At 36.7% G+C, this 27782-nt stretch overlaps 1 protein-coding gene across 6 annotated transcripts in view, besides 1 other annotated feature; it reads right to left on the reverse strand.

Annotated features, from left to right (window-relative positions):
- RNF150 (ring finger protein 150) overlaps positions 1 to 27782 on the reverse strand; it is a 353094-nt gene that overhangs the window by 163960 nt on the left and 161352 nt on the right. The gene's annotated exons all lie outside the window — the stretch shown is intronic.
- Positions 27285 to 27514: a silencer, noted in NCBI's record as "fragment chr4:141972205-141972434 (GRCh37/hg19 assembly coordinates)". NCBI's record gives its function as "represses an EF-1alpha promoter that drives an FKBP-Casp9 reporter gene in an ReSE screen in HepG2 liver carcinoma cells {active_cell/tissue: HepG2}" and the evidence as "EXISTENCE:reporter gene assay evidence [ECO:0000049][PMID:32094911]".

Raw genomic sequence — 27782 nt, forward strand, 5'->3', positions numbered from 1 at the left:
GGACAAACTGAACAATAACAAACTTCACGGTGCTTTCCTACCTTCTTTATTTGTTTACTCTCTTCTCTCTGCCAAAATGTTCTTATGCTTCATCCATACATTCAATCACTCATTTAACATGTATTAAACCTCAGTTTATAGCAATATGGCAAGATAATTAGCTTGCAATACTCTTCTAATGAAACCCTAAGAAATTATTGCTAAAATGTAACAAATATTCTTTGAAATCCATTGTTAGGATTATAGGAACATAAAGAAAATTTCCAGAGCCAAGCTAAAGAGGAAACTAAAAACTGAATGAGGCTGGAGTTGCTGTTACCTGAGCTGCCGATGGGTTGGTCCTAAGCAACTGAGAAGCTTGGTTTTCACATTTTAAGAAATACAGCTTGTCAGATACTCAAGATTTAAGCTGGAGTTCAGATTTGTCTCTAGCAATGGGACTACAGAATAGTGTTACCACAGTGAAATACTGAATGAGGAAAAACTCCTTCTATCATGGAAGACAAGGATAAGGGTGACTGTCTTAGCTTAAGAAGGCTGTCTTAAGAAGAGATTTAAAAATCTCTTCTTAAAATTCCTATCTGTGGGTCTCTCTCCACTGAGGCTTGAGTTCCAATTTGCACTAACATGTTAGATATTTAATTAAACATGTAAACACACATGTGTTCTAGTAACTCCCAGAAAGCAGAAGCAAGTACAAACATCTCAGGGGGATATACCTTCATCCCAAGGCACATCAAATTATCGCTGGTTAAACACAAAACATGAACTCATAATACAAAATTAAAAACAAAATGAGAAAACAATGTATTCTGAGCAAGAATAAGCTATCAACCTAAATAATCAAAAGGGTCAGAATACAAAAGAGAGTTTATTCAAGTGAAAAGTGTGCGGGTGGCAATCCGGTGAGCAGAGCTACAGCAAAGAATGGTGATCAGGGTTCCCGGTATGGGATAAAATAAGGATCATTTATACAGGCAAAACGGAGGTGCTGACCAGAAGTACATTTTCCATACAAAGGCTAACATAAAGATATAAGATTTGATTGGCTACTATTAATTACACTCTAAGGAGGGTGTTTAACATTCTATTCTCAAGAGGTAACAGTTACAAGAATCTCTATCTCCATGTCTTTTACTCTAGGTCTGAATCAAGAATAGGGAGTCTGGTTAATGTATAACATCTCAATGCAAAAGTCAAAAGAAAAAAGTCATGCACCAGAGAAGAAAAATAGTTGTATTGTGTGAATCAAGTTTCAGGGATTAACTTTTTCTTTGGCATAATAAATTTGGAAGGTCCTGAAATTTTATTTTCTTTTTACATAGCTGATAAAGCAAATAAATAGTAGGATTAGAACTCTTCAAGAAATTCTGATTACAGAAGTATCATAGAGCCTATAAAATAAGTACACCTAAAATACTAAAGTCGTAAAAGGAAATGCCAAAAACACAAGAAAAGAACAAATACCAGGCAGATGAAAACAAATAACCAAATTGTACCTGAAATGATGAATATAGTCATTCAATCAGTTATTCAATTAAATAACCTCAATAACTAGACTAAATTGTTACCTAAATCAAATTTGAAGAGAAGATTACCGAGCAGGAGGTAAATGGTGTGTAATCCCATAACTAGATGAACTATCATTTAAGAATTATGTTGAAATAAGAGCATTTTCAGTCAAACATTTGCAGTGTTTTCTATTATAAGACCCTTGCTTAAAAAAGTACTCAAAGATATTTAGAAAGAAAAAAGGTGAAAGCTGAAAAAAAATGAAAAATGAGAAGGAATGGGGAAGAAATTGGTAAATTTGAGTTTACATAGAAATAAATTTATTTAAAACAGGTATAATAATAACACTTACTTGGAAGATACATAAAAAGTAGACCAAGAAAAAATAGCATAGGAGAAAGAGGACTAGAGTTAAAGCATTCTAAATTTCTTCTAAGAATAGGATGTTTATTAGCATTATACTTAAGGGTCAGATATGTAAGTTAAAATTTTAAGGGTCAAATGAAACATTGAAAAAACTTTTTATCTTTAAAGCATGAAGATAGGAAAGAGGGGTACTACAGACTGAATGTTTGTGTCCTCTAAAAATTTTTATGTTGAAACCTGAATTTCCAATGTGATGATATTTGGACGTAGGGCCTTTCAACAATGATTAGGTCACAAGAGTGGAGCCGTCATGAACTGGATTAGCGTCCTCCTAAGAAAAGAGAGAGTTTGCTTCCTCTCTATCTGCCATATGAGTACACAAAAAGAAAGCTGTGTCTGCAAGCCAGGAAGAGGGACCTCACCAAGAACTAAATTGTCTGACGTCTTGATCTTAGACTCTCCAGACTTCACAACTGTGAGAAATAAATTGTTATTCAAGTCATCCAGTCTATGGTGCTTTTATGTGTCTATGTAAACAAGGGGACAAAGTAAACCCAAGGGTAACATTACATGTCAGCTACTGTACAAGACACAGGAATCCCCAGAATGAATAGATCAAGGAGAAATATTTATGATACAATGAGAAAAGACACATTGAGAAAAGAAAAATGAGTATATATTGGAGAGAATGATTTATTCTGCATAGAACCTTCAGGCAAGGATTAACAACGAATCTTATAGCAGTGCTATTGAATAGAAATATAATGTGAGGCACAAGTTAAGTGTTTGATAGTTTCTTATGGCTAGTGGCGACTGCACTGGATCACACAGGGGCTCCCAACCTGATGTTCTGCATATTGCTGTGGCCAAGGAATTTAGGTGGGGTGTGCAAAGCATTTCTTCTGCTTTCAGTTGAGTGAGGTAAATACTAGGATGAACAAACTTAAACAAGCATCTAAGCTGCAAAGCTTCTTAGACCCTTCAACACACATATACTCCCAGGGGTAATATGGTATGTAGTATAATGTTTCACAAACGTATTTGCTCATTTAGTACTTTTTGTCTACAACATACCTGTTAATGCCTTCCTGAAAAATAGGCAGTAGAACATCAGTTTGAGAAACTCTGGTTTCAGTCATAGGGAAAAATCAAAGGAAATGGCAAGATGTAAAGTTGAAAACACAGGCAAATGTCAGACCAGAGGCTTGTCTTTTAGGCTAAGAAGTTGCGATCTTTCAATAGTAAGCAACATAGTAAGTAAGCTCTGAAGATACCTGAGCAGGGGGAGTGAGGAGTAATGCCTCTTGGCTTCAGATGTGGCCACATGAAGCTATGAGGTGTTATGGCTGCCACTCGCTAAACCAGACTGAAGAGGGGTTCCTTACAGCGACTTTTCTAGGGGCCTGGTCGATGCCTTCTCCCAGTTAAATACAGGCACAGCCAACTCAGCTCTTGTCGGCTGACAATGCAATCATTCCTCTTCAGTGGGTCTGCAACTGCAAGGAGAGGAGTCACAGACAACTGAAGAAGGAAAAACGTCCCCGGAATGCAGTGAATCCAGGTCATGGAGAAGTGTCTCTGATTCTGGAACCTTCTTGCTTCAAAAGGAATAGAGTATGTTCATAAGTCACGATACATGACAAAATTTCCTGGAATGCATGATTTAGGATATAGGTTCTAAGTGTTATATAAACAATGACTTTTATTTGAAAAAATATATTTTGTTTTTTGAATAGGTTATATATTCACATTGTTCAAATTATACACAGACACACAAATCTACACAGTGAAAAGCCTCAGTCCTGCTCTTGTTCTTCCTCTGCCAAGCTCCTATCACCTCTGTAGCAGGTACTTGTAGCTGGTGTCTAAAACTGCTTACACCTCTTGGCACACAGACAACATTTCCCAATCTCTCTTGCAATTATATATAGCCATGTGACTAAATCCTGGTCAGACGAGTATGTGCCACTTCCCAGTCTGGCCTATAAAAATCTCTCATGTTGCATCTTCCCTCTCTTTTCCTGTCTTCCAGCTGAGTGTTTATACCTAGAGCAACCTCAGAAGCTATGGAATAAGGAAGGGGAGGCCTATATAAGACTTAGCCCCTTAATGACTGAATGGTGCAGAGTAGCCCTGGATTGCATGAATATAATCTAATTTATTAAGCCAGTCTCTTATTCAAGGACATTTGGATTTAACATTGATTTTCAATCTTTCCTGCACTAGTGTTCTTAAAGATCATTAGATAGTTAATGAGCTTGGAATTTGTTTTTTTTTTTTTGTTTTTTTTTTTTTTTTTTTTTTTTTTCAATCCTGCTGGATCAAGATGTATATCTAGTGCAGAGAAAATCTGACAGGAACTTAAAGCTAGGATATAGCAGATGATGGACTTCAGGGCTGAGAATACTCTGCTACTGATGGAAATTCTGTTTAAATGTCACTTTGCATACTACATACACAGTGTTGGGACAAGCTGGAACTAAACAACCCCTCTGTGGAATTAATCATATTACTGCGTAGAGCATTAGACAACTGTTCCATTCAAATGTTACTGATGTCATGTGCAAAATGGTTGATGGGTTCACATTTGGCATTCATTAAGAAGTAGTGGCTAAAATTAGTCAGAATCCTAGGTGATTAATCTTTGATATGCATGGCCATAAATGGTGTTCAGTCACTTAGCCAGCTTTTTCATATGGATCCTTCTTAAGGACTGGAGCATATCTCATAAACCATTTGCTTAGTCATTTAACTAGAGTGCCTACTTTTGCCAACAGCTTGACAGTTTAAAAAAGAATAAAAGCCTGTTCCCTACTGGAAAAATTTGGAATTTTGCCATAATCGTTATAGGCAGTGCTCTCAGTAAATTCCAGCTTTATGCCTCTTAGACAAATGGAGTATGAATTTTACTGTCAGTAGAGAACACTGAAAAACAAAGAAAAGAAAGCATCAGTGTAGTATGTATCATGTTCTTTAATATTCTTCTTTAAAGTTAAATATTGATTATGACTTTGCAATTTATTTTCAAGCAAGAACTGTTGAGTATTTGAGGCTCTGAATGTTAGTGCTGATGCTAGGATTATGATAAAAATAAAGTGCTTCTTAAATTTAAAACTCTATAATATTTCCAAAGGTGATTCTGACATCTCACTTTATTTCATGTTTTCCAACAGTGAAAATAATTTTTTAAAAAACTTGAGAGTAGAACCCACACACTAAAAGCCCATTTATTGAGCTTGCTTTGATACAATAACATTGATACAGAAAAGATTCAGAAATTAACAATCAAAACTCACATCTATATTTACCAAAACCAACATAATTTATTAAGATATGCTATAATCATTAAAAACTATTTGTTTTCTCAGTAAGGTAACATTTGATTCTAAGAATGGGTGGCCTAGATATTTTTACAGCTATTCTCACAGTCACCCAAGATCTGGCTGCATTTTAATGAAGAAGTTAACTATATATAACTTGTGAATACATTGATATGCCCGGAGAAGAAGGGTTCTGTTAAAACTACAGATTGCACATATTTCCTAGAAAATAAGCAAGTATTTTCCTTAGGTTCTATACAGGTTACTTGGTATATCACTTCATTGATAATGTATAGAAACAGGCCCCATCACAATTCAATTCCAAGCAACTTCCAGATGGTTCCTGCTGGTATACCTTATATTTTTTCAAGAATCATGGGAAACCAGACATTCTCCTTCACAAACTCAGGATTTGGCATATGAGACATAAAGTCCAACAGTCGTTCTGTATGTCTTCCCTCTTCAACTCTTGTTCAGTTTATGAAGAACTTAAATCAGAGTGTACTTTATATACTAGTACAGTTAACAGTAAGATATGTTTCTTATTTAAACTTTAGTGTACAAACAAGTTGAAAGCATTGCCCTTACTATTGTTATGGGTTTTATGGGAATGGGATAACCATAACACACAACTGGACCTCAAAGTCAATGCTAATTTGGGCAGAAGGAATGACTGGGTATGCCTCAGCAGAGCAGCCAAAGGGAATTCCTTTACAAATTATGGAATCAAATGTCAAAAACAGTCCTATTGGTTAACAGAGTGAAAAGACAACCTATGGAATGTGAGAAAATATTTGCAAATCATATATTGGATAAGGGATTACTATCCAGAATATATAAAGAACTCCTACAATTCAACAATAAAAAACAAGTAACTAAAAAATGGGCAAATGACTTAAATAGACATTTCTCCAAAGATGAAATACCAACATGCATATAAAGAGATGCCTGGCCAGGCGTGGTGGCTCACGCCTGTAATCTCAGTACTTTGGGAGGCCGAGGCAGGTGGATCACAAGGTCAGGAGATGGAGACCATCCTGACTAACCCAGCAAAACCCCGTGCCTACTAAAAATACAAAAAATTAGCCAGGTGTGGTGGCAGGTGCCTTAGTCCCAGCTACTTGGGAGGCGAGGCAGGAGAATGGTGGGAACCCAGGAGGCAGAGCTTGCAGTGAGCCAAGATCACGCCACTGCACTCCAGCCTGGGCGACAAAGTGAGACTCCGTCTAAAAAAAAAAAAGCTCAGTATCAGTAATCACTAGAGAAATGCAAACCAAAACTATGAGATATCACCTCATACCCATTATAATGGCTATCAAAAAAAAAAAACCCAGAAAATAACAAATGTTGGTGAGAATATAAAATTAAAAACATGTACACTGTTGATGGAAATATAAATTGTACAGCCATTATGGAAAACAGTTTGACAGTTCCCAAGAGGTTGAAAATTATCATATGCTCCAGGAATCATATGATATGATTCTTCTGGGTATACACCCCAAAGTACTGAATGCAGAGTCTGGAAGAGATATTTGCAAACCCATGTTCACTGCAGCTGGAGTCACAATAGCCAAGATATGAAATTTACCTAAGTGTCCATTCATAGATGAATAGATAAAATGTGGTTTACACATATAAAGGACTATTCCACAGCCTTAAAAATGAAGGAAATTAGATGTAACACATGATTGTCAAGTGTTACAATATGGATATATCTTCAGATTATACTAAATAAGATAGTCACAAAAAGACAAATATGGTATGGTTCCATTTAAATGAGGTATCTAAAGTAGTCAAATTTATAGAAACAGAATCAGAATGGGGGTTGCCAGGGGATAGGGGAGAGGAGCAAATGGAGAATTGCTTAACGGATATAGAGTTTCTGTTTTGCAAGATAAAAAAGCTCTAAAAATCTGTTGCACAACAATGTCAATATACTTCACAGTATTAAAATGTACACTTAAAATGGTTAAGATGATAAATTTTATGTTATATGCTTTTTGAGCGCAATTAAAAAATTTTAAAATATTTTTTAAAAAACAATCCTATTGGCAAACAATCCTACTGGCCAGTCTAAGAAACCACCACAGTTATGAAAACTCCATTAGAACCCTGTAGCTCCAACTAATAATTAAATCCACACATTTACAGGCAATTGATCTTTGCCAAAGATGCCAAGAACATACAATAGAAAAAGGATAGTCTCTTCAATAAATGATGCTGGGAAAACTGAATATCCACAAGCAGAAGAATGAAACTAGACCCTTATCTCACACCATATACAAAAATCAATTCAAAAGGGATTTTGAACAGTTTCAGATGTGAAACTAATAAACTAGTAGAAGAAAACATGGGGAAAACTTCATGACACTGGTCTGGGCAAATTTTTTTTGGGTAAGAGCTAAAAAACACAAGCAACAAAAGCAAAAATAGACAAATGGAATTGCATCAAAGTAAAAAGCTTCTGTACAGCAAAAGAAACAACAGAGTGAAGAGACAACCCATGGAATGAAAGAAAATATTTGCAAACTATACATCTGATAAAGAGTTAATAATATCCAAAATATATAAGGAACTCAACCAATTCAATAGGAAAAAACCAAATTACTCAATTAAAAAATGGGAAAAGACTTTAATAGATATTTCACAAAGACAGATATGCAAATGGCCAACATGTATATAAAAATGCTCAACATCACTAATAATCAGATAAATGCAAATTAAAACCATAATGAGATAATATTTCATACCTGTTAGAATGGCAATTATAAAAAAATGACAGAAAAGTTTTGGTAATGATGTGGAGAAAGGGAGAACCCTTGTACAATGTTGGTGGAAATGTAAATTAGTAGAGCCATTATGGAAAATGGTACAAAGTTCCTTAAAAAATTAAAACTATGATCTAGCAATCCCATTTGATACATATGCAGAGGAAATGAAAGAGATGAGCACCCCCATGTTCCCTGTAATATTATTCACAATAGTCAAGATATAAAATTAACCAAAGTATCCACTGATGGATGAATGGAAAAAGATGTAGTATGTGTATATATGTATATATATACACACATATATATATAAACATATATATACACACACACACACATACACATACATACACACACAGTGAAATATTCAGCCTTAAAAAAGAAGGAAATTGTGTCATTTGTGACAACATACATGAACCTGGAAGACATAACACTAAGTAAAACAGGCACAGAAGGACAAACATTACATGACTTCATTTATATGTAGAATCTAAAACAAGTAGAACTCATGGAAGCAGAGAGTCGAATGATGGTGGCCAGAGACTAGGGAACTTGAGGGAAATGGGATTATGTTGGTCAAAGGGTACAAAGCTTCAGTTAGATAGAAGGAGTAAGTTCTGGTGATCTAATGCACAGCATGGTGATTATAGTTAATACTGTATTGTGTACTTGAAATCTGCTAAGAGTATAGACTTTAAATGTTCTCACCACACTCGCATGTACATACATACACAAACGTAACTACTAAGTGAGGTGATGAATATGTTACCTCTGTGGCTGTGGTAATCATTCCACAAAGGGTATACCAAAACATCACATTATATATCATAAATTCATACAACATTTATTTGTTCATTATATCTAAATAAAGCTCTGTGAAAAAAAAAGAATCTTCTGGACCCCCAAGAACAGTGCTAGTTGGTTTTCATCTGATCAAAGAAAATCTTAAGGCAACACAGGCCTTTAAGGTACAGACACACCTCAGAGATACTGTGGATTCAGTAATAAGGTAAATATCACAATAAAGCAAGTCACACAAATTTTTTGGTTTCCCACTGCATATAAAATGTATGTTTACACTATACTGAGGTCTATTAAGTGTACAATAACATAATGTCTAAAAAAGCAATGTACATACCTTAATTAAAAATACTTTATTGCTAAAAATGCTTACAATCATCTGAGTCTTCAGTGAGTTATAATCTTTTTGCCAGTGGAGGGTCTTGCCTTGATGTTGAGGGCTGCCGACTGATCAGGGTGGTGGTTACTGAAGGTCGGGAGCTGTGGCAACTTCTCAAAATAAGACAACAATGAAGTTTGCTGCATCAATTGATTCTTCCTTTCACCAAAGATTTCTCTGTAGTATGTGATGCTGTTTGACAGCATTTTCTCCATAGCAGAACTTCTTTCAAAATTGGAGTTAATCCTCTCAAGTCTTTCCACTGCTTTATTAAGTAAGTTAATGTAACATTCTAAATCCTTTGTTGTCATTTCAACAATGTTCACATTATCTTCACCAGGAGCAGTTTCCATTTCAAGAAACCACTTTCTTTACACATTCAAAAGAAGCAACTCCTCATCCATTAAAGTTTTATCAGGAGATTGTACCAATTCAGTTACATCTTTAGACTCCACTTATAATTCTAGTTCTCTTGCTATTTCCACATCTGCAGTGACTTCCTCCACTGAAGTCTTGAACCCCCAAAGTCGCCCATGAGAATTGGAATCAACTTCTTCCAAACTCCTGTAAATGTTGATATTTTAACCTCCCCCCATGAATCACAAATATTCTTAGTGCCTTTTAGGATGGTGAATCCTTTCCAGAAGTTTTTCAATTGACTTCACCCACATCCATCAGAGGAATCACTGGGCAGCGATACCTTAAAAAATGTATTTCTTAAATAAGAAGACTTGGAAACTGAAATTACTCCTTGATCCACTGGCTACAGAATAGATGCTGTGTTAGCAGGCATGAAAACAACATTTATCTCCCTCCCCATCTCCATCAGAGCTTTTGGGTAACCAGGCGCATTGTCAATGAGCAATCATATTTTGAAAGAAGTCTTTTTTTCTGAGTGGTAGATCTCAACAGTGGGCTTAAAATATTCAGTAAACCATGCTGTAAACAGATACACCATCATCCATGCTTTGTTATTCCATGAATAAATCACATGCAGAAATGTAACATAATTCGTAAGGGGGCTAGGATCTTCAGAATGCTAAATGAGCACTGGCTTCATTTTAAAGTCACCAGCTGCATTAGCCCCTAAAAATGGAGTCAGCCTGTCCTTTCAATCTTTGAAGCCAGGCACTGACTTCTCTTCTCTAGCTATGAAGGTCCTAGATGGCACTTTCTTCCAGTGTAAGGGTGTTTCATCTGCATTTAAAATCTATTGTTTAGTGAAGCCCCCTTCAATTATCCTAGCTGGATCTTCTGAAAACTTGTTGTGGCTTCTTCATCAGCACCTGCTGCTTCACCTTGCATTTTTATGTTTTGGAGATTGTGTCTTTCTTTAAACATCATGAACTAGCCTCTGCTAGCTTCAAACTTTTCTTTTGCAGCTTCTTCACCTCTCTCAGCCTTCCTACCATTGAAGAGAATTAGGGTCTTGCTCTGGATTAGGCTTTGGCTTAAGGGAATGTTGTAGCTGGTTTAATCTTCTACCTAGACCACTCAAACTTTCTCCATATCAGCAAAAATGGTGTTTTGCTTTCTTATCATTCATTTGTTCACTCAAGTAGCCCTTTTAATTTCTCTGAAGAACTTTCCCCTTGCATTCACAACTAGGTAAACTGTTTGGTTTAAGAGGCCTAGTTTTCAGCCCATTTCGGCTTTTGACTACACTAAGCTTAATCATTTCCTGCTTTTGATTTAAAGTGAGAGACATATGACTTTTCCTTTTACTTGAACACTTAGAGGCCACGGTAGGGTTATTAATTGGCCTAATTTTAATATTTTTGGGTCTCAAGGAACAGGCAGGCCGAAGGAGAGGGAGAGAGAGATAGGGAAATGGCTAGTCAATAGAGCAGTCAGAAGACACAACATTTACCAATTAAGTTCACCATCTTATATATAGGGCATGGTTTGCAGCACCCCCAAACAAGTACAATAGTAACATCCAAGATCACTGAACTCAGATCACCAAAACAGATATAATAATGAAAAAGTTTTATGTATTTTGAGAATTACCAAAATGTGACAGAGACACACAGTGAGCAAATGTTGTTGGAAAAATGGCACTGACAGACATGCTTGATGTAAGGTTGCCACAAACTTTCAATTTGTAAAAAATGCAATATTTGCAAAGTGCAATAAAGCAAAAATAGGTATACTTGTATAATTACAGTATCTTTCCCTTTACAAACTCTCTACAATTTAACTCAAAAAGCCATAGCTCCAACAAGTTTTAACGACTTCAAAGGCATTAGGCATTCTTCCTTCCAAAGCTGACTGAAGAATCAAGGGACATACTGAAGTGTTTACTTAAAATTAGGTTGTTCCTTCTGGGTCTGAGGAATGCATGAAGTTACATTTGTTCATATGTTATGAGTCCTGCTGGTGTGAGCCAGAATGAAAAAGGCTCCAAATAAGTGCTCCTTTCTGCTGGCGCTACCGGATTCACCTTCACAGCCTTCAACATCAGGCATGCAGTGTCCTCATTACAGTTTACCCTAAAAAGAATGCTATGACTTAGTGGATAAATGGAGAAGAGGACACAACAGAAGTCAATTATGCATTTAATATCAATGGGGAAAAATGTATGCGATGCGATCCTATGCCCCAAGTGGTAAACTATATCTAAATCCCATGCAAGGACACTATCACTTCAGGAAATGTGTTATCAGAACACGAGATAACAAGGCAGTGGCCTTCATTAATAACCCTGCTGAAGGCTATGTCCTTGTACCCATTCAGCTTCTTCCTAAGCTTGTGAGTCTAAGTCCACACAATAATGATGAGGCATATATATATTTAGTGGTATGCAACTGTAGCTTCACAGCCAAAAAAGAGAATAAATATTAAAATAATGGTATGTGGAAAAGATTGTTCAAGATACTTTAATGGTGTCATTTCAATTTAACAAATGTTCTTTAATATTGGTTACTATGTAAAACACCATCCTAAACACTGGGGCCAGGCCTGGGGCGGGGGATTTGAAAAACGAAATAACACGACATAACATGGCAGTCAAAGGAAAAGCTGCATCTCTGAGGTTATGCTTGAAGAGCATCTTAAAAGATATAAAAGATAAAGGGATTATCAATAAGTTTAGAAAGAAAGAAGGATTGAGAACCACAGTGGAAAGCCAGGAGGGCCTTTATGACTAAGAGAGCATCATAAACAAAGCTGTCAAAAGTACATAAATGTGACAGACATGTGGAGACTGCTAAAGATATCTATGGCAAAAGCATAAGGAGCAACAACAAATATAGTTTCCCTTTCCACTCTAGCAATAGTTTATTTTAAATTCTACATATGGGGTTGTGCCTGTCTTGTTCATTGCTGTGCTTTATATGTTTTGGGCCTATAATAGGTACTTAAGATTTGTTGAATGGATAGGCAAAAGATGAGGCCAGAAAGATAGTTGAGGGGCCAGATCACAATTCCCCTCCAATGCTAGGCTTGGTATTTAGATTTTATTTTTCCTTCTGGTAAAAACACATGACATAAAATTGACCATCCGAACCATTTTTAAGTGTGCAGCATAGTAGTGCTAACTCTATACATCCTGTTGTGCAGTAGATCTCGAACTTTTTCAGACTGCAAAACTGAAACTGTATACTCACGGAACGACTCCACATTCAGAATTTGGATTTTGTTCTATGGGTAATAACGTGTTCCTGAAATTTTTTGAGAAGGCTTTCTTACATTTTGGGAAGTAACCTAAGGGTACGCCAAAGCATCAGTGGGCTGCATGAAGGGAAAACCATTAGGTGTTTAGTAGATTGGTACGGTGAATAGACTAGACTATAGATTATTTTCTGTTTTAAAGAAAATCCTAACTGCAACATATGTAAAAATTGTTGATATATAAATTTATCTGAAATATACTGATAATGCTTGCTCATTTCAATATTTAAAAAAACACTCAAAAATACCCTAATATCTAACAGCATAGCACAACTTAAACATATCCTTAATTGCAATTTACTTACGTTATGCCAAAAGGCCCTTAGCTCAAAATTGCTGCAAGTCATGGACTGTTGATGTGAATATTTCTAACAAGCATTCCATTCTCCAACAGACTGAGTTCCAGGCTTTCACCCTCTTACTCCCTTGGCCTTGATCCAATATTTAACACAGACTCTTCAGCATTTCATTTATATCTTGCATGCTATTCTTCATTAGGGCACAAAATACACATGATCGTAGATTGTAGAAGAAAATTATAGATGGCTTATTTATTCTAAAGGACACAGTATTCTGTTTCTTTTTAAAAATGTGATATTCACCTAAGGTTCTCGGTATTTCCCTACTAAATTGTCCTTAGCTTTTTAGAAAGCATAAAATGTAGCACAGATACATTCATTCCATTAGTCACTCAAATAGCCAGTGTAAATTAAACTACCCTTCCTTAAGTCAATACTTCGTAATTTATAAGGACTTTAAGAAACCAATGCATAATATTTACTGGGAATATTTATGTTAATGTGAGGATAAGCTAATAACAATAAGAAGAATAAATTTCCTTAAGAAAATTTGGAAGAAGACAGAAAACATAAATATAAGCTGTTGAGAATATTAAATCTGCACTTTCTTCTGAAGGAAATGAAATTGCTCAAAAAATGTTAGAATTTCCAAATTACTGTTAAGGCATTTTAGTCCCAGTTTCCCAATAAAATAATATCATTTATTTTGTTTTTTCATTGTGTAAACAGAAGCCTGAATCAGTTTTGCAATAAACTGTTGGATCAAAAGAGCCTTTTTCCCAAGTTAGAAAGCTAAAAAGCTTGATGCCAAGGACTAAATTATCTCCAGCTGTAAGAGTAGATTTCATTTTTCTTGGGAAAGCTGGTAGTAGCTAAATTCATGTCATTTGTATATGAAAGAAAAGATAATCAATGGAAGATTAACAGTACAAATCAGTTAATGGGGCACTATGTACACCTACACTTACAGACTTAACCATGGTCATAAAAATATTCACATTCCCACCCAGATACATCTATTTTAGAGGAGTTTGCATTTTAAAACAGCTAACATGCAATCATATACACTAACATGTTAAAATATATATGATTGTTTATTCACTAAGTTAGTCACAGGTTATAGAATTTAAATTATACATAAAATAATTATATGCAGAGAAGGGGGACCCCATTTTGCATTCCCACTCTGAGAAATCTGGGATATCAGGTTAGTCACATCTAGTCCTATGTCCTATGTACATGTGTACCCCTAAAGGGCTCCAGGTGGAGAGAATGCTTGGCTGGTTTTCAGGTCCTGAATAAGATTCCTAAACAAGACAAAAACTGCCCTCAATCTCTGGAAAGTGCAGGAGATAGCTGGTGTGCACGCTACACCCCTCAGACTGCAACCTTGGGTAGTACCACTTAAATATCCTTCAACTTGCCCAGAGGACTTAATCCAAGAAATCAAGAAAGAAAACTAAGTGATTAACAGAGTTGACAGCTTCTTCTGGGCGTCGAGTAATAGATTTAAAAAAGAATCTCGACCGGGCATGGTGGCTCATGCCTGTAATCCCAGCACTTTGGGAGGCCGACGTGGGAGGATCACTTGAATCTAAGAGATCGAGATCAGCCTGGGGCAACATAGTGAGACTCCATCTCTACAAAATTTTAAAAAATTAACCAGGCATGGTGGCATGTGTCTGTAGTCCTAGCTACTTGGGAGGGTGAGGTGGGAGGATTGGTTGAGTATGGGAGGTCAAGGCTGCAGTGAGCCATGATTGTGCCACTGCACTCCAGGCTGGGCAAGACAGCAAGACCCTCCCTCAAAAAAAAAAAAGAATCTCTTTCCCATTTTTATGGCAACAAGAACAGAATTACTTGAACAGTGAGCAATAATGAGAGGCAGGGACAATGATCATAGAAGCAGAAAGGAGGAACAGGAGTGGAGGTTACCTTTACTCACCACAGGCTGAGGTCCTCAAGTGAGGCCCCCTAATGCCAGAAGAGGAAGAACATGGCCCAGAGCAGATAGGAGCAATAGCCTCACAGAGGAGCCAGGCCTTTGGGGAGAAGGGAGGAGGCTCTGGGTGGTAGCCCGAAGGTCTAATGTGGCTGATAGACTGAGGTTAAGGTAACCGCCTGTCAGTAGTAACCAAGCATTCCCAAGAAAACAGGCTACTCCTGGGAAGGATGTAAAAGCCCACGTGCAGTGGGTGGGAAATAAAGTGTGGGAGTAACATATTCAGAAAATAAGGCAGAGGTCTCAGGAAGAATACCTGTGTTTGGGCTGAGAATGGGTATTATAAGAGGGCATAAGAATTTACGAGCCTCTTTCATGAAAAGTAGGTGAAATCTAAGTAGAGAACGCAACATTCTAGAAATTGGTATGGAGTAAGTGATAATTTGAGACTAACTGGTGAAAGTTAGTGGACAATTTTCTTTAGCAGGAGAAAGAAGGAAACTAAGAGGAGAAGGTGGTAGAGAAAGAAAGGGGAGGAAGGAGGTAGAGAAAGAAAGGGGAGGGAGGAGGTAGAGAAAGAAAGGGGAGGAGAAAAAAGGGAGAGGAGAAAAGAGGGAACAAGAGAGTGACAGCAGAGCTAGGGCACAGGGAGTGCATAGATTCATTTAAAGAAAGGCCATACATTTAGGAACTGAGTCATGGCAAAAGTGGGAATGTATTATAAAATTAAATAGGTGATGAATCCTTTGTAAAAATTCCTAAAATCTGCACGTGCACACATCCCTAACTGAGACAGGCAGGGTGGTTGATTCCCTATTTTAAGATGGTCTGGAGGAAAAGGAGAAACGACCCTCACTCAAGCTCTAGCTTAGCTAACTCTCAGCCAATCTGTAACAAGAGACCCAAGAAGTTATTAACTGCAAGCTCCTATTTCAGGGGGCTGATGATTTCCCCAGAGTCCCATATGAGCAGTTAGGCTTAAAACCCCAACTTAAAGCTACCTCTTACTCCTCTGAATGCTAAAATTCAGGCCCAGGGGTGGAGATTTAAAATGCTACCACTACATGTAATATAGGAAGAAGCACGTTGAGCCAATGTGCAAGTGCTAGAAAAACTCCTCCCCTGCGTGCCCTGATGTAACCTTTCCCCACATAGAGAAACCCTAGAAAATGAACCCACAAACTGCCCTCAGAGAGAAGCCCGCTCCTTTTTCCTTCTCCATGCTATCTTCCTTATGCACAAGCTGGAATAAACTTAAACTTACCTTTGCTGCTATGTTTGGTGATCTCTCTCGATTTCTATCCTGGAAGACTGCAAGAACCCCGGGTGCTGGTAACACAACCACACACACACACACACATGTTGTAGAGCAAAATCAGGTAAAACCAGTAAGGTTTGTTGACTATCAGGCTATCCCAGAAGATGAAGAAATAAGAATTAACTAAATGTGATCTCAGAATAGGTATTTTCTAACACTGCAATCATGAAATACACACATAAACACATATTTGGTCAAGTACTAATATTTTAATGGCTAGAAATGAAAAGGCAAAAGGTGTATCACTTTGTGCACAACAAGGAGGAGAACTGAAATCAAAATTATAACAATACTAATGGTAATGAATTCCTTGGAGATGGAAATAATAATATACTTCTAACATTCTCTTTTATATATTTTTTTGTGAGCCATGACAAAACTAATGCAATGCAAATATCTGCCTGTAAGTAGGGTGATCAAATAACTTATTGTCCAAATCAAGGCACTTCTGCAAGAAAAAGGGGAAACTATTAATTATTATACTAGAACAGGCATAAACTGGGACAGTCCTAAGCAAACCAAGGAATCTGGTCCTCTACACATAAGTGTTAAATAACACATCAGTGGTTTCCTACCTATGAGCAGGAAACAGTGGGGCACAGGAATACTATTACAACTACAGCAATCCAAATGCTCAACAAGTATGGTCAGTAGGTGGAAACATAATATGCACATTTATATATGCAGCATTAATTTTAAAATGTCTATAGATAATGTTTTACAAAATTCAAATATACTTTAATATTACAAAATTCATGATAGATTTTTATCATCATGTATTTTCTCAATCAATGGCTCTAAGAATACCATCAGCATTATGTGTGCCTGGTTGAGAAAACTTTTAACTTTTAAAAGTGTTGGCACTCATTCACTTTTTGGTCACTGTTATCTGAAGTATTTACCAAACGGTTTAGTAAATGTTGACTATTACTATAAACATTCATTTAAAAAAAAATTAAGTCTCTACTAGGTAGTACTAAGCCTACAGCAAAAAACTGGAATGTGGTTGCTATCCTTGAGATACACAAAGCCTAGTTAGGGAGAGAAATAAACAAATCATTATAACCTACTGTGTTAAGTGCTGTGATATAAGTACAAGCAGCAAGTCCTATGCATGTCTTATCTAAACAGATAAATCACAACATACCATGGCAAAGGCAATAATGAAATGTAAACACAGAGCTCTGAGGTCATAAAGGGTAGAATGACCAACTGGGGGTCAGAAGAGGACAAAAGGGGAAGAGAATGCCATAGGATGGCAGAAATACAACCATCCATGAAAACAAAAGCAGACAGAGGAAGAGAACAAATTACTCAGAAATCATCTCCTTACTTAAATCACACACAAAAAAACTATACTTCTTACACAAATACACAGCTGCATCTATCCAAATGTTCCCAGAATCCAAGACTCTATAAAATACAACTGGAAAATCTCTGACCAGGAGGAGAATTTTTCACATGTATTTCTTCTATGGGCTGTTTTGCCTAAAAAAGGTCTACAGATTACTTTTTCTTGCCACTAGAAATAATTAATAGTATATTGCTACTTTTGATGATATGCCCAAAAATATTTGCTTTGAATCAAATACAATGTAAGAAAATGTAAAATAAGTGAATGTTTTTGAGCATATCATTATATTATGTAAATGAACGGTAAAAGTAATATATGGGATCAAGCCTTAGACCATCTACAAAGCTACCATGAACGTATATATACCTAAATAACTAATTGTGAGTACATCTTATTTTTAGGAAATGGCAGATGCTGGGAAAAATATATAATCTAATTTATTTTCAAAGAATGCTTCATGAACCTGTAGCTTTATAACTAAGGAATTATATAATCACAGGTCTCACTGGGGCCAGTACTAGAAAGATGACTATTTTCTCAATGAAAAGTTGATGATTCAAGAATATAAAATCATCAGTAAAAATTAAACATGTATTTATTGGACATGCTCTGGCAGTTGACATTTGTAGCTCACTTGTTTATAATAAAGTGAGGAAAAAAATCAATAAACCGAACAATTGCTAGTGAATCAGATTCAATTTACTTAACAGTGTGTTAAAAGACACATTTTACATTTGGAGATTGTAAGTCTTCTTGTATAAAATGTGAGACTCGTTTATCTAAAGAATTAGATTGCTCAAGACAAATACGACTTAGTCAACAAATTTAAATAAAGGGCAAATCAACTTTCCAGGTCTCTTTGACATCAAATTCCTTTGACATAATTATAATGGAATAAACTATTCTGAAAGTTCTCTGAGGCATTTCAAAAGCTGGCTACATTCTAAAATTTCAACTAGTTTAATTCAGATTGGTCTTCCTTCCTTGAGGCTTTCTCTATGCAAGATGAGATGTGTCTGAAAAAAAATGCAATTTAGTTCCATTACTGTAATCCATAATTTTTCACTATGCCCCTAAACAAACCAACTCCTAAAATTGCTAGGAAAACAAAAGATACTAACAAGTGCCACCAATACCAAACAGAAAAGTAAACACTAGAATATATAAGTTGAACACTAAAAATCAATTTCTATTGAAGGGGTAGTGCTTCTTATTTCCTGGATAGATATTCTACTTCATTTTCTAGTATTCACACATTCATTCTTATTCTCTCTCTCCCCTTCCGCCCATGTGTTCTGGGGATGGGGTGATATCTGTCTTTTTGTCTTTACCTCCATTCCAAATGCACACACATAAAGACCTTCAGGGAGGTTTTAAGGTTCTTGAACCTTGTCTTCGGCATACTATTTTAGGTAAACTGTCAGAAGGATTAAATATCTAATGGTAAAAACTGCAATTACTTTTACACCAACCTAATACTTCAGGGAAAACTTGGTAGAGCTGTATGACAATCTTTTTTAGATTTAACATGTATTTCAGTGATCAAGTCATTTGTGGGAAATTCTTTGACTTATTTTTATTGAAAAATATAATATGAATGTCAGTATGTACAAAAAAATTCAAATATAATTTCTTTTGGGTAGTAAGTCTACAAATAATTAACATTTGACCCATTGGAAAGAGAAAACTGAAATCTTTCCCAGAATAGGTAGGTAATTAGCAAAGAGAAAAGTACCATTTTTCAGACATACAAAATATGGTACGTTTGTGAAGGAGAGGGGTGGGCCACACAGAGAATTGGCCTCTGAATCTCCGATAAAAGCAAGATACCAGTCCATACCTAGATGACAACACAGAAGGGTTTCTGGAAGGAGTTTCGCTATTAATATAGGAATGGTCACTGTTTCTTTATGTAAAAATTCATAAAATGCAAAATGGCTGAGCAAAAACATTTTTTCTGAAAGACTTAGTAGTGTTAGAAAGAGAAAGCCTAAATTACTCACAAGTGAGTTTTAACATCTTGTCGAGAGAAGTTCTATATAGGGAGACTAAAAAAATGTAAGTGCTTTCTTCTCATAAATATGTTGTTGCTATCTGAGTCCAGTTTTGGATTTCTATTCTCTTGTTTTGTTAACCAGGCTAGCCATATACATGTAAAATTAAGGGAAGCCACTTTAAAAGGAATAGCTAAGTAGGTCAATTGGGTGGGATGAATACCAGAAAGTTTCTGAATACAAGGTATTTGTAATCATCTCTTCTATATTATGGGAAAGAGTTAAAGAGGTAATCCTACAAGAGAAAATTTTTACCTCCTGCAGAGGTAAAAATAATACTCAGTGTTCATCAATCACAACCTTGATTTCAGACTCTAAAACAGATCATCTCCCTACCCAATGCACACCAGTGTTATGGTTATCTGGAAGGATCACAGAGAATCCAAGGAACTAATATTGATGAAGCACTTAGGTTCTTTATATACATTGTCTCATCTAACACTCACAACATCCTTGAATGGTGTATAATAGGGTTGAAGTAAATGTATTCTATTGATATCTATCAAAATGTCCTTTTCTTCTTCATGTGATTTAAACACACATAGGCAAAGCATCTATACATATTTTTAAATGACACATTAACATTGAAAGTGATATATCAAACACATTAGAGAGGATGCCTTCTGGAAACGGGAAGGCATGCACATACACATATAATGTTAGCTAAATGTCTTATTAGTTTTTAAATGCAAATCTTTTAATTAAAGCACATCCTTCAAGCAACATGTATTGTCATGATCTTAACCACTTAGTAGCCCATGAACAGAACTGAGTTCAGTGGTACTTCCTAGCTGCAAATTCTATAGATGAGCACTGTTCAAATTCTCAAAATGGTAATCTTTATAAATGAACTCTGGGTCTACATCAAAATCCTGGAAATGGAGAAATAGTTACCAATTTCATGTAATGCAAACATTAATATACAAAAAATGAATACATAAAATTTTAATATCCACTTTAATTCTCTCAATCACCTATGCTGAATATTTACATAACATTATTATTTTAGAAGTGAAAAAGAAAATGGCAGGAAAAAACCTTGTCTTGGACTGGAAAATACTGTTTTTGCAGTCAGTTTAGAAGACTAAAGAAATTTAAATCTATTATGACTCAGATCAGAAGCCAGGTACCCCCTCAACTAGTTCACATCTAAAAATCAGGACTAATGCCAATCCCTACACATGTTGGAGTAAAGAGCTCATGCATGCGGGTGTGCAGCGCACACACACACGCACACACACACACACAATTCATGTGAGCCTGGGAGGGTCTTGACTTCAAAACTGAAAACTGTGGCACATCTTACTGGAGCATCAGTTGATCTCAACATCTGTTTTGGTCTGGGAATAGCACAATTTGTTAGTTTAATATATTAATGTTCTTAGTTTTTCTTTACGGAGTATTTACCATGTGCCAAGGCATTGAGCTAAGTATTTTACAAGCATTATGTCTTTTAACTTTTACAACAACCATATGAGGTACATCCCAATGGTATTCCCATCATATATGTAAAAAAACTGGCAGCCTTGTGAGGTTAAAAAACTTGTGCAAAGACATTTAGCTAAAAAGTGCTAGTTCCAGACTGCAAAGTCATGTTCTGAACCATTAAGCTATATTGAAACTCCCAACATTAATGTAATGAAGTAGAATGCCAACAACTTTAAATCAAAATACCAGAAACACCTGGAAGGTCATGCCAACCCCTTCACTCTCAAATGTGTATAAGCATTGTTTCTGAGAAGTTTGATAAGTACTGCAAAAACCATTTTCACAAATATAACAAAGCCTAAATTTAACTCAATGAACACTTACTAGGTTCCTATCCTCTAAAGCACTCTGCTGTGGAAAATAAGCATTTATAAGTAAGGTCCCTGATTTCAAGCAATTATGCTGATGTAGTAATCTACACAGGTTTACTGACTCTTTTAAATTTAGGAATACATTCTTTTTTTATATTTAGGAACACATTCTTTTTTTATTTTTATTTTTTATTTATTTATTTATTTTTTGAAACGGAGTTTCGTTCTTGTTGCCCAGGCTGGAATGCAGTGGCGTGATCTCGGCTCACTGAAACCTCCGCCTCCCGGTTTCAAGCAATTCTCCTTTCTTGGCCTCCTGAGTAGCTCGGATTACAGGCGTCCACCACCATGTCCAGCTAATTTTTGTATTTTTAGTAGAGACGGGGTTTCACCATGTTGGCCAGGCTGGTCTTGAACTCCTGACCTCAGGTGATCCGCCCACCTCAGCCTCTCAAAGTGCTGAGATTACAGGCATGAGCCACAGCGCCTGGCCTAGGAACACATTCTTATTAATTATTCTAAACACTTTTAGACAAATAATCCCAATAAACGGATCTTCTTAACTTTACATATCAATATGTATGCAATACATTTTATAAGAAATTGAGATTTAGACATGACACACTTCTTGGTCAAGGTCTCCACATACAAGGTTGAGTTGAAATAAATGATAAATATAAAAGAAAAATGACGTCATAGGAAAGCCATAGAGAAGAGCCTAAATTGTATAGATTGACATATAGAAGATGGACAGAAATGGAATGTTTTATAATTATAGAAATATTGAAATTATGATCCCGAGATAAGATTCAGCTTGACAAACAAAAGGTAGTCAAATACAAGCTTGGTCTGACTGGTAGCTGATGAAGTTTCGTCTCTCCATGACCTTAGATGGGGGAATACACTTCTACAAAGCTTTCACATTTTCTGTCTTCTACCTACATAGATACTAACACTCCTCTTTAAATAGACCGCATTCTTTTCTGTTAGTCACATTCATGACTGGACTAGAGTACATCCTTCAGTTGCCAAAGTTTGGGGCAAGTTATGTAAACTTATTACTGGAGCATTCTAGGAAACACACAACCACGAGTCTGGGAGGAAGCTGCAGAGTAGACTCTGCTCTCATACAACTGTTATTTACTGACACCCACCAGGGCCAAACTTGAAGTTCACACTTTATGAGTCATTGGTTCCATATCTTTAGAAGCATGGCGTATGAGGAGTCCTTTTCAAACTGCTGATTACCTCCTCAGCTTCTGAACATCTGTGTTGCTCTGTACCCATGACCATTTGTTTTATTTTGGTTTTTGCCAGCTGAGGATTAATTCAACTCAAAAGGCAATTCATCATGCTCGATTTTCTCCACATTTATTCCATTGATTAGGGAATTATTACAAGAGAGTGCCTCCCTCATACGATCTCACAATTATTGGGCCTAGGTAAGAGGAGGTATGTTTGTCATTCTTTAGAAACAGATATAAGGATAAAATGAGATATCTTGCATGTTTCACCTTCTTTGCAAGTACATTTTGGGGGTCCATCATTGTCTTATTTTTTCAGGCTTAACATTGGCTCTAGACACTCCCTCCCCGACACACCAAAAGGAAAAAAATAAATGCTCAAACTCAGTTTTGAAATCCAGTCCAAAACTTCTCAGGCTCACGAATAGAAATTTAAATCTATTATGACTCAGATCAGAAGCCAGGTACCCCCTCAACTAGTTCACATCTAAAAATCAGGACTAATGCCAATCAGGACTAATGCACATGTGTGTATGTGTGAGAGATTGTGTGTGTGTGTTTCCCTGCTTTAATATTTCACAGCTTTACTGCATCTGAAAATATTTAGAAAGCTAGTTTAGAAAAACTAGCTTTACTTGCTAGTTTTTTACATATGTTAAAACGCTATGACAGTATTCTGAACGTGTCCAGTGCCTTCAACCTTTCCTACTGAAGGTATTTCGACCCCTTCCTGCACTCACACAATCCTCGCTGTCAACAGGATTTCCATTTGCAGCTGAGACAGGCAGAGGCTGGTCCAGATCAAGAATCTGGTCGTGTGTAAATGTGCACGTTCCCAGAACTGATCAAAGACAGACGCACACACAGATGGTGACTCATAGGATAAACTTTTCATCAAAATAAATACATTTAAGAAATATATCTGAGGATAATTGGTTATAAATCATTTTACCTTGAAAAACAGAAAATGGAGGCCAAATAAAAATTTTTAAATATTCCACAAACACAAAAATCCTATTAAGTGTGGTTAAAATGGATGCCAGCAACTTCTTTATACCACTGACTATGTTCCCAAATCACATGCACAGGATTTTCCAAGGATCACAAGTCAAAGGCAACTAAGGCTATGTAGTAGCTGAGCCTGAAAGAACCTCATCTATGAGGTACACTGATTCTTTCCATCCCTCTTTCTTTTAAAATTATATATATATTTTTTAAATCAACAAACTTAATGGATCATTTATCTCTACAGAATATATTATTTTTCTCCTGGCACTCAAAGATTGCCAAAGTTATCACCTGCAATGAAGAATTACCCAGGCAGCCACCTACCAGTAGTGATACAGCAATTAATCAGAGGAAAAGTCAATAGGAGAATGAGAGTATGGCACTTAAGAAACACGTCTGTGAGTGTGCTACCATGGCATTATGGAGAGAATCAGTAGCAGACCAAAAGTGAACAAACAGGGGTTGTGTCCCACTTCCTATCGGGTCCTCAAAGATCCTGCCTAACCGAAATTCAAGGGCACTTTCATCCATGTCATTTAAAGCTATTTTATATTCCATGGAAAACAAAGTCATGAATGAAACCAGTAAAATACTGTTTGCTGTAACATGCCATCTCTTGGCTGAGCATAAGTGGGGAAGAAGTACAGGATGATTCGCAGCAATGGCTAAACTGTAAGCTAAAAGAAGGTGCTGTAAAGACAATGAAATGAGACGTCTCCCTTTGGCTATGTCTGAAGAAATGATACAAAAATAGTGTTATGCAGCCATGGACCACTGGGAAACAAAGCCCACAAGAAGATCCATCTTGGCATGCAGCCATCAAGGGTGGATTAGAACTGTATGTGAGCCTGGGTGCAGTGGTTCATGGGTATAATCCCAACACTTTGGGAGAACAAGGCGGGAGGACTGCATGAGGCTAAGAGTTTGAGACCATCCTGAACAACATAGCAAGACCCTGTCTCTAGAGAAAAAATTTAAAAATTAACCAGGCATGGTAGTGTGTGACTATAGTCCTGACTAGTTGGGAGGCTGAGGCAGGAGGATCCCTTGAGCCCTGGAGTTCAAGGCTGCAGTGAGCTATGGTCTGACCACTGTACTCCAGCCTGGGTGACAGAGTGAGACCCTGTCTCTAAAAAATAAACAAACAAAAAACAACTGTATGTGAGTGAGAAAGAATTGGCTGTTGCAACTATTAATACATGACAAGAAGAAGATATATTGCCTAGTAGCTTTTTAGACACGTATATAGCTTTGTGGAAGCTACTTAGGTATACCAAGATGATTGAAGCCAACATAATACTTCTCTCATTGCTAACTCTCCTTTGTGATAAAATCTGACACCAAGGTTGGCAGTGAGAGCAGCAGTCAGGCCTGATGTTCATCTGCTCAACACTGGTATGGCCAGTGCAGTTGTTCATGGGTATGCCTATTCTGAGCAGCCAGTATTATGAAATATTGTTAATATCAGGTGTGCCTCAACTAAGGGATGAAAGTGCTTTAGTAATAGAAAGCAAATAGGGCAATAAGAAGAAACTAGGTATTTCAAAGGTTTATATTTTGCTTAAAGTGAAAATGTAATTACACATAGTTTACCAATAAGTATTAGAAATGGCAATTGGAAAGTGTGGCCAGCACAAATAAGTATAAGGACATTTGCCAACAAAATAAAAAAAAAAACACAAAAACTTAAGTTGTAGAATCCAGAGATAAAAAAAAGGAGGTGACATACTCAAGAGGAAAATGGTAAAAAATAGAGCTAGAGGAACAATAAAATTAATGTCAAAAAGCTTAGGGGAAGAAAAAATATTTATATGAACTATAACAAGGGTTTATTTCTAGTAAAATAAAAAAATCTTAAAAATGGTTACTATCAAAACTTCAATGGATAAGTGGGTAAACGGTTAGGAAATTTAAAAAAGAAGTACAGAAGGTGAAAAAAATTAACACATTTTGAATACTTAAAAGAAATATAAGTGAAAGGAAATATTTTAGCAAAACTTTTTAATGACAAAAGTCTTCAGGGGGTGGTGGGGAAAATAAGTAGACTCATTCAGTGCCAATGACATTATAAATTGAAGATATCTGGAGAATATTTGCTAATTAGAAAACAGTATGTTCAGTGATTCCACTGTTGTAAATTCATCTATGGATATAATTTTTTAAATTATGTGATGCTTAAATAAAAACTAACTATAAACAACTTAAGCCCCCTATTAGGGGAAAGCCAAGTATATTAGAGCATACTGATGTAACTGAATAGCATGCCACCACTAAAAAGATAAATGTGATAAGGAAATGTGGAGAAATATTTATAAAAATATTAAAAGTAGAAATATATGTACAACTATGTACACATATATGTATGTGTGTATATGCAATAGCCAAATTAATTTAAAATTTATAGATAAGATTGAATGCTATCCCACTAAAAAGCTAAATATAAGTAATAACAAAATATGAAATATTTATAAAATAGCAAAAGAACAGCAGAAACACATATATACATGTAAGTATATATAAGTATATGTACATATATTACAATTATAAAAACTACTTATAAGTTTGAAACAAAAATCAGTAGGGAGCTTGAAGAAATGAAACTGGTTGTGTGTGTGAGATTTTTATTATTTTTTTTTCCTCCCATGACATGTGGGAATTATGGGAGTTACAATTCAAGATGAGATTTGGGCAGGGACAAAAGCAAACCATATCATTCCACTCCTGGCCCCTCCCAAATCTCATGTCCTCACATTTCAAAATGAATCATGCCTTCCCAACAGTCTGCCAAAGTCTTAACTCATTTCAGCATTAACTCAAAAGTCCATAGTCCAACATCTCATCTGAGAAAAGGCAAGACCCTTCTGCCTATGTGCAGAATCAAAAGCAATTTAGCTATTTCCTAGATACAATGGGGGTACAGGCATTGCCTAAATACAGCTGTTGCAAATGGGAGAAAATGGCCAAAATGAAGGGGCTACAGACCCCATGCAAGTCTGAAATCCAGCAGGGCAGTTGAATCTTAAAGCTCCAAAATGATCTCCTTTGACTCCATGTCTTACATCCAGGTCATACTGATGCAAGAGGTGGGTTCCCATGGTCTTGGGCAGCTCCGCCCCTGTGGCTATGCAGTGTACAGCCTCCCTCCTGGCTACTTTCACTGGTGGGTGTTGAGTGTTTATGGCTTTTCCAGGTGAATGGTGCACACTGTCAGTGCATCTACCATTCTCAGGTCTGGAGAATAGCAACAGCCCTCTTCTCACAGCTCCACTAGGTAGTGCCCCAGTAGGGACTCTGTGTGGGGGCTCCAACCCCACATTTCCCTTCTGCACTGCCCTAGCCGAGGTTCTCCCTGATGGCCCTGTCCCTGTAGCAAACTTCTGCCTGGGCATCCAGGTGTTTCCATACCTCCTCTGAAATCTAGGTGGAAGTTGCCAAATCCCAATTCTTGACTTCTGTGCACCCACAGGCTCAGCACCACAGGGAAGGTGCCAGGCTTATGGCTTGTACCCTCTGAAGCCATGGCCCAAGCTGTACCTTGGCCCCTTTTAGTCATGGCTGGAGCGACTGGGATGCAGAGCACCAAGTCCCTCCTAGACTGCACACAGCATGGCCCATGAAAACATTTTTTCCTCCTGGGCCTCTGGGCCTGTGATGTGAGGGGCTGCCATGAAGACCTCTGACATGCCCTGGAGACATTTTCCCCATTGTCTTGGGGATTAACATTTGGCTCCTCATTACTTATGCAAATTTTTGCAGCTGGCTTGAATTTCTCCTCAGAAAATGAGATTTTCTTTTCTATCACATTGTACAGCTGCAAAATTTCCAAACTTTTATGCTATGCTTTCCTTATAAAACTGACTGCCTTAATAGCACCCAAGTCATCTCTTGAATGCTTTGCTGCTTAGAAATTTCTTCTGCCAGATACCCTAAATCATCTCTGTCAAGT

The sequence above is a fragment of the Homo sapiens genome, chromosome 4, assembly GCF_000001405.40.
Source record: "Homo sapiens chromosome 4, GRCh38.p14 Primary Assembly".
NCBI classification, from domain to species: Eukaryota; Metazoa; Chordata; class Mammalia; order Primates; family Hominidae; genus Homo; species Homo sapiens.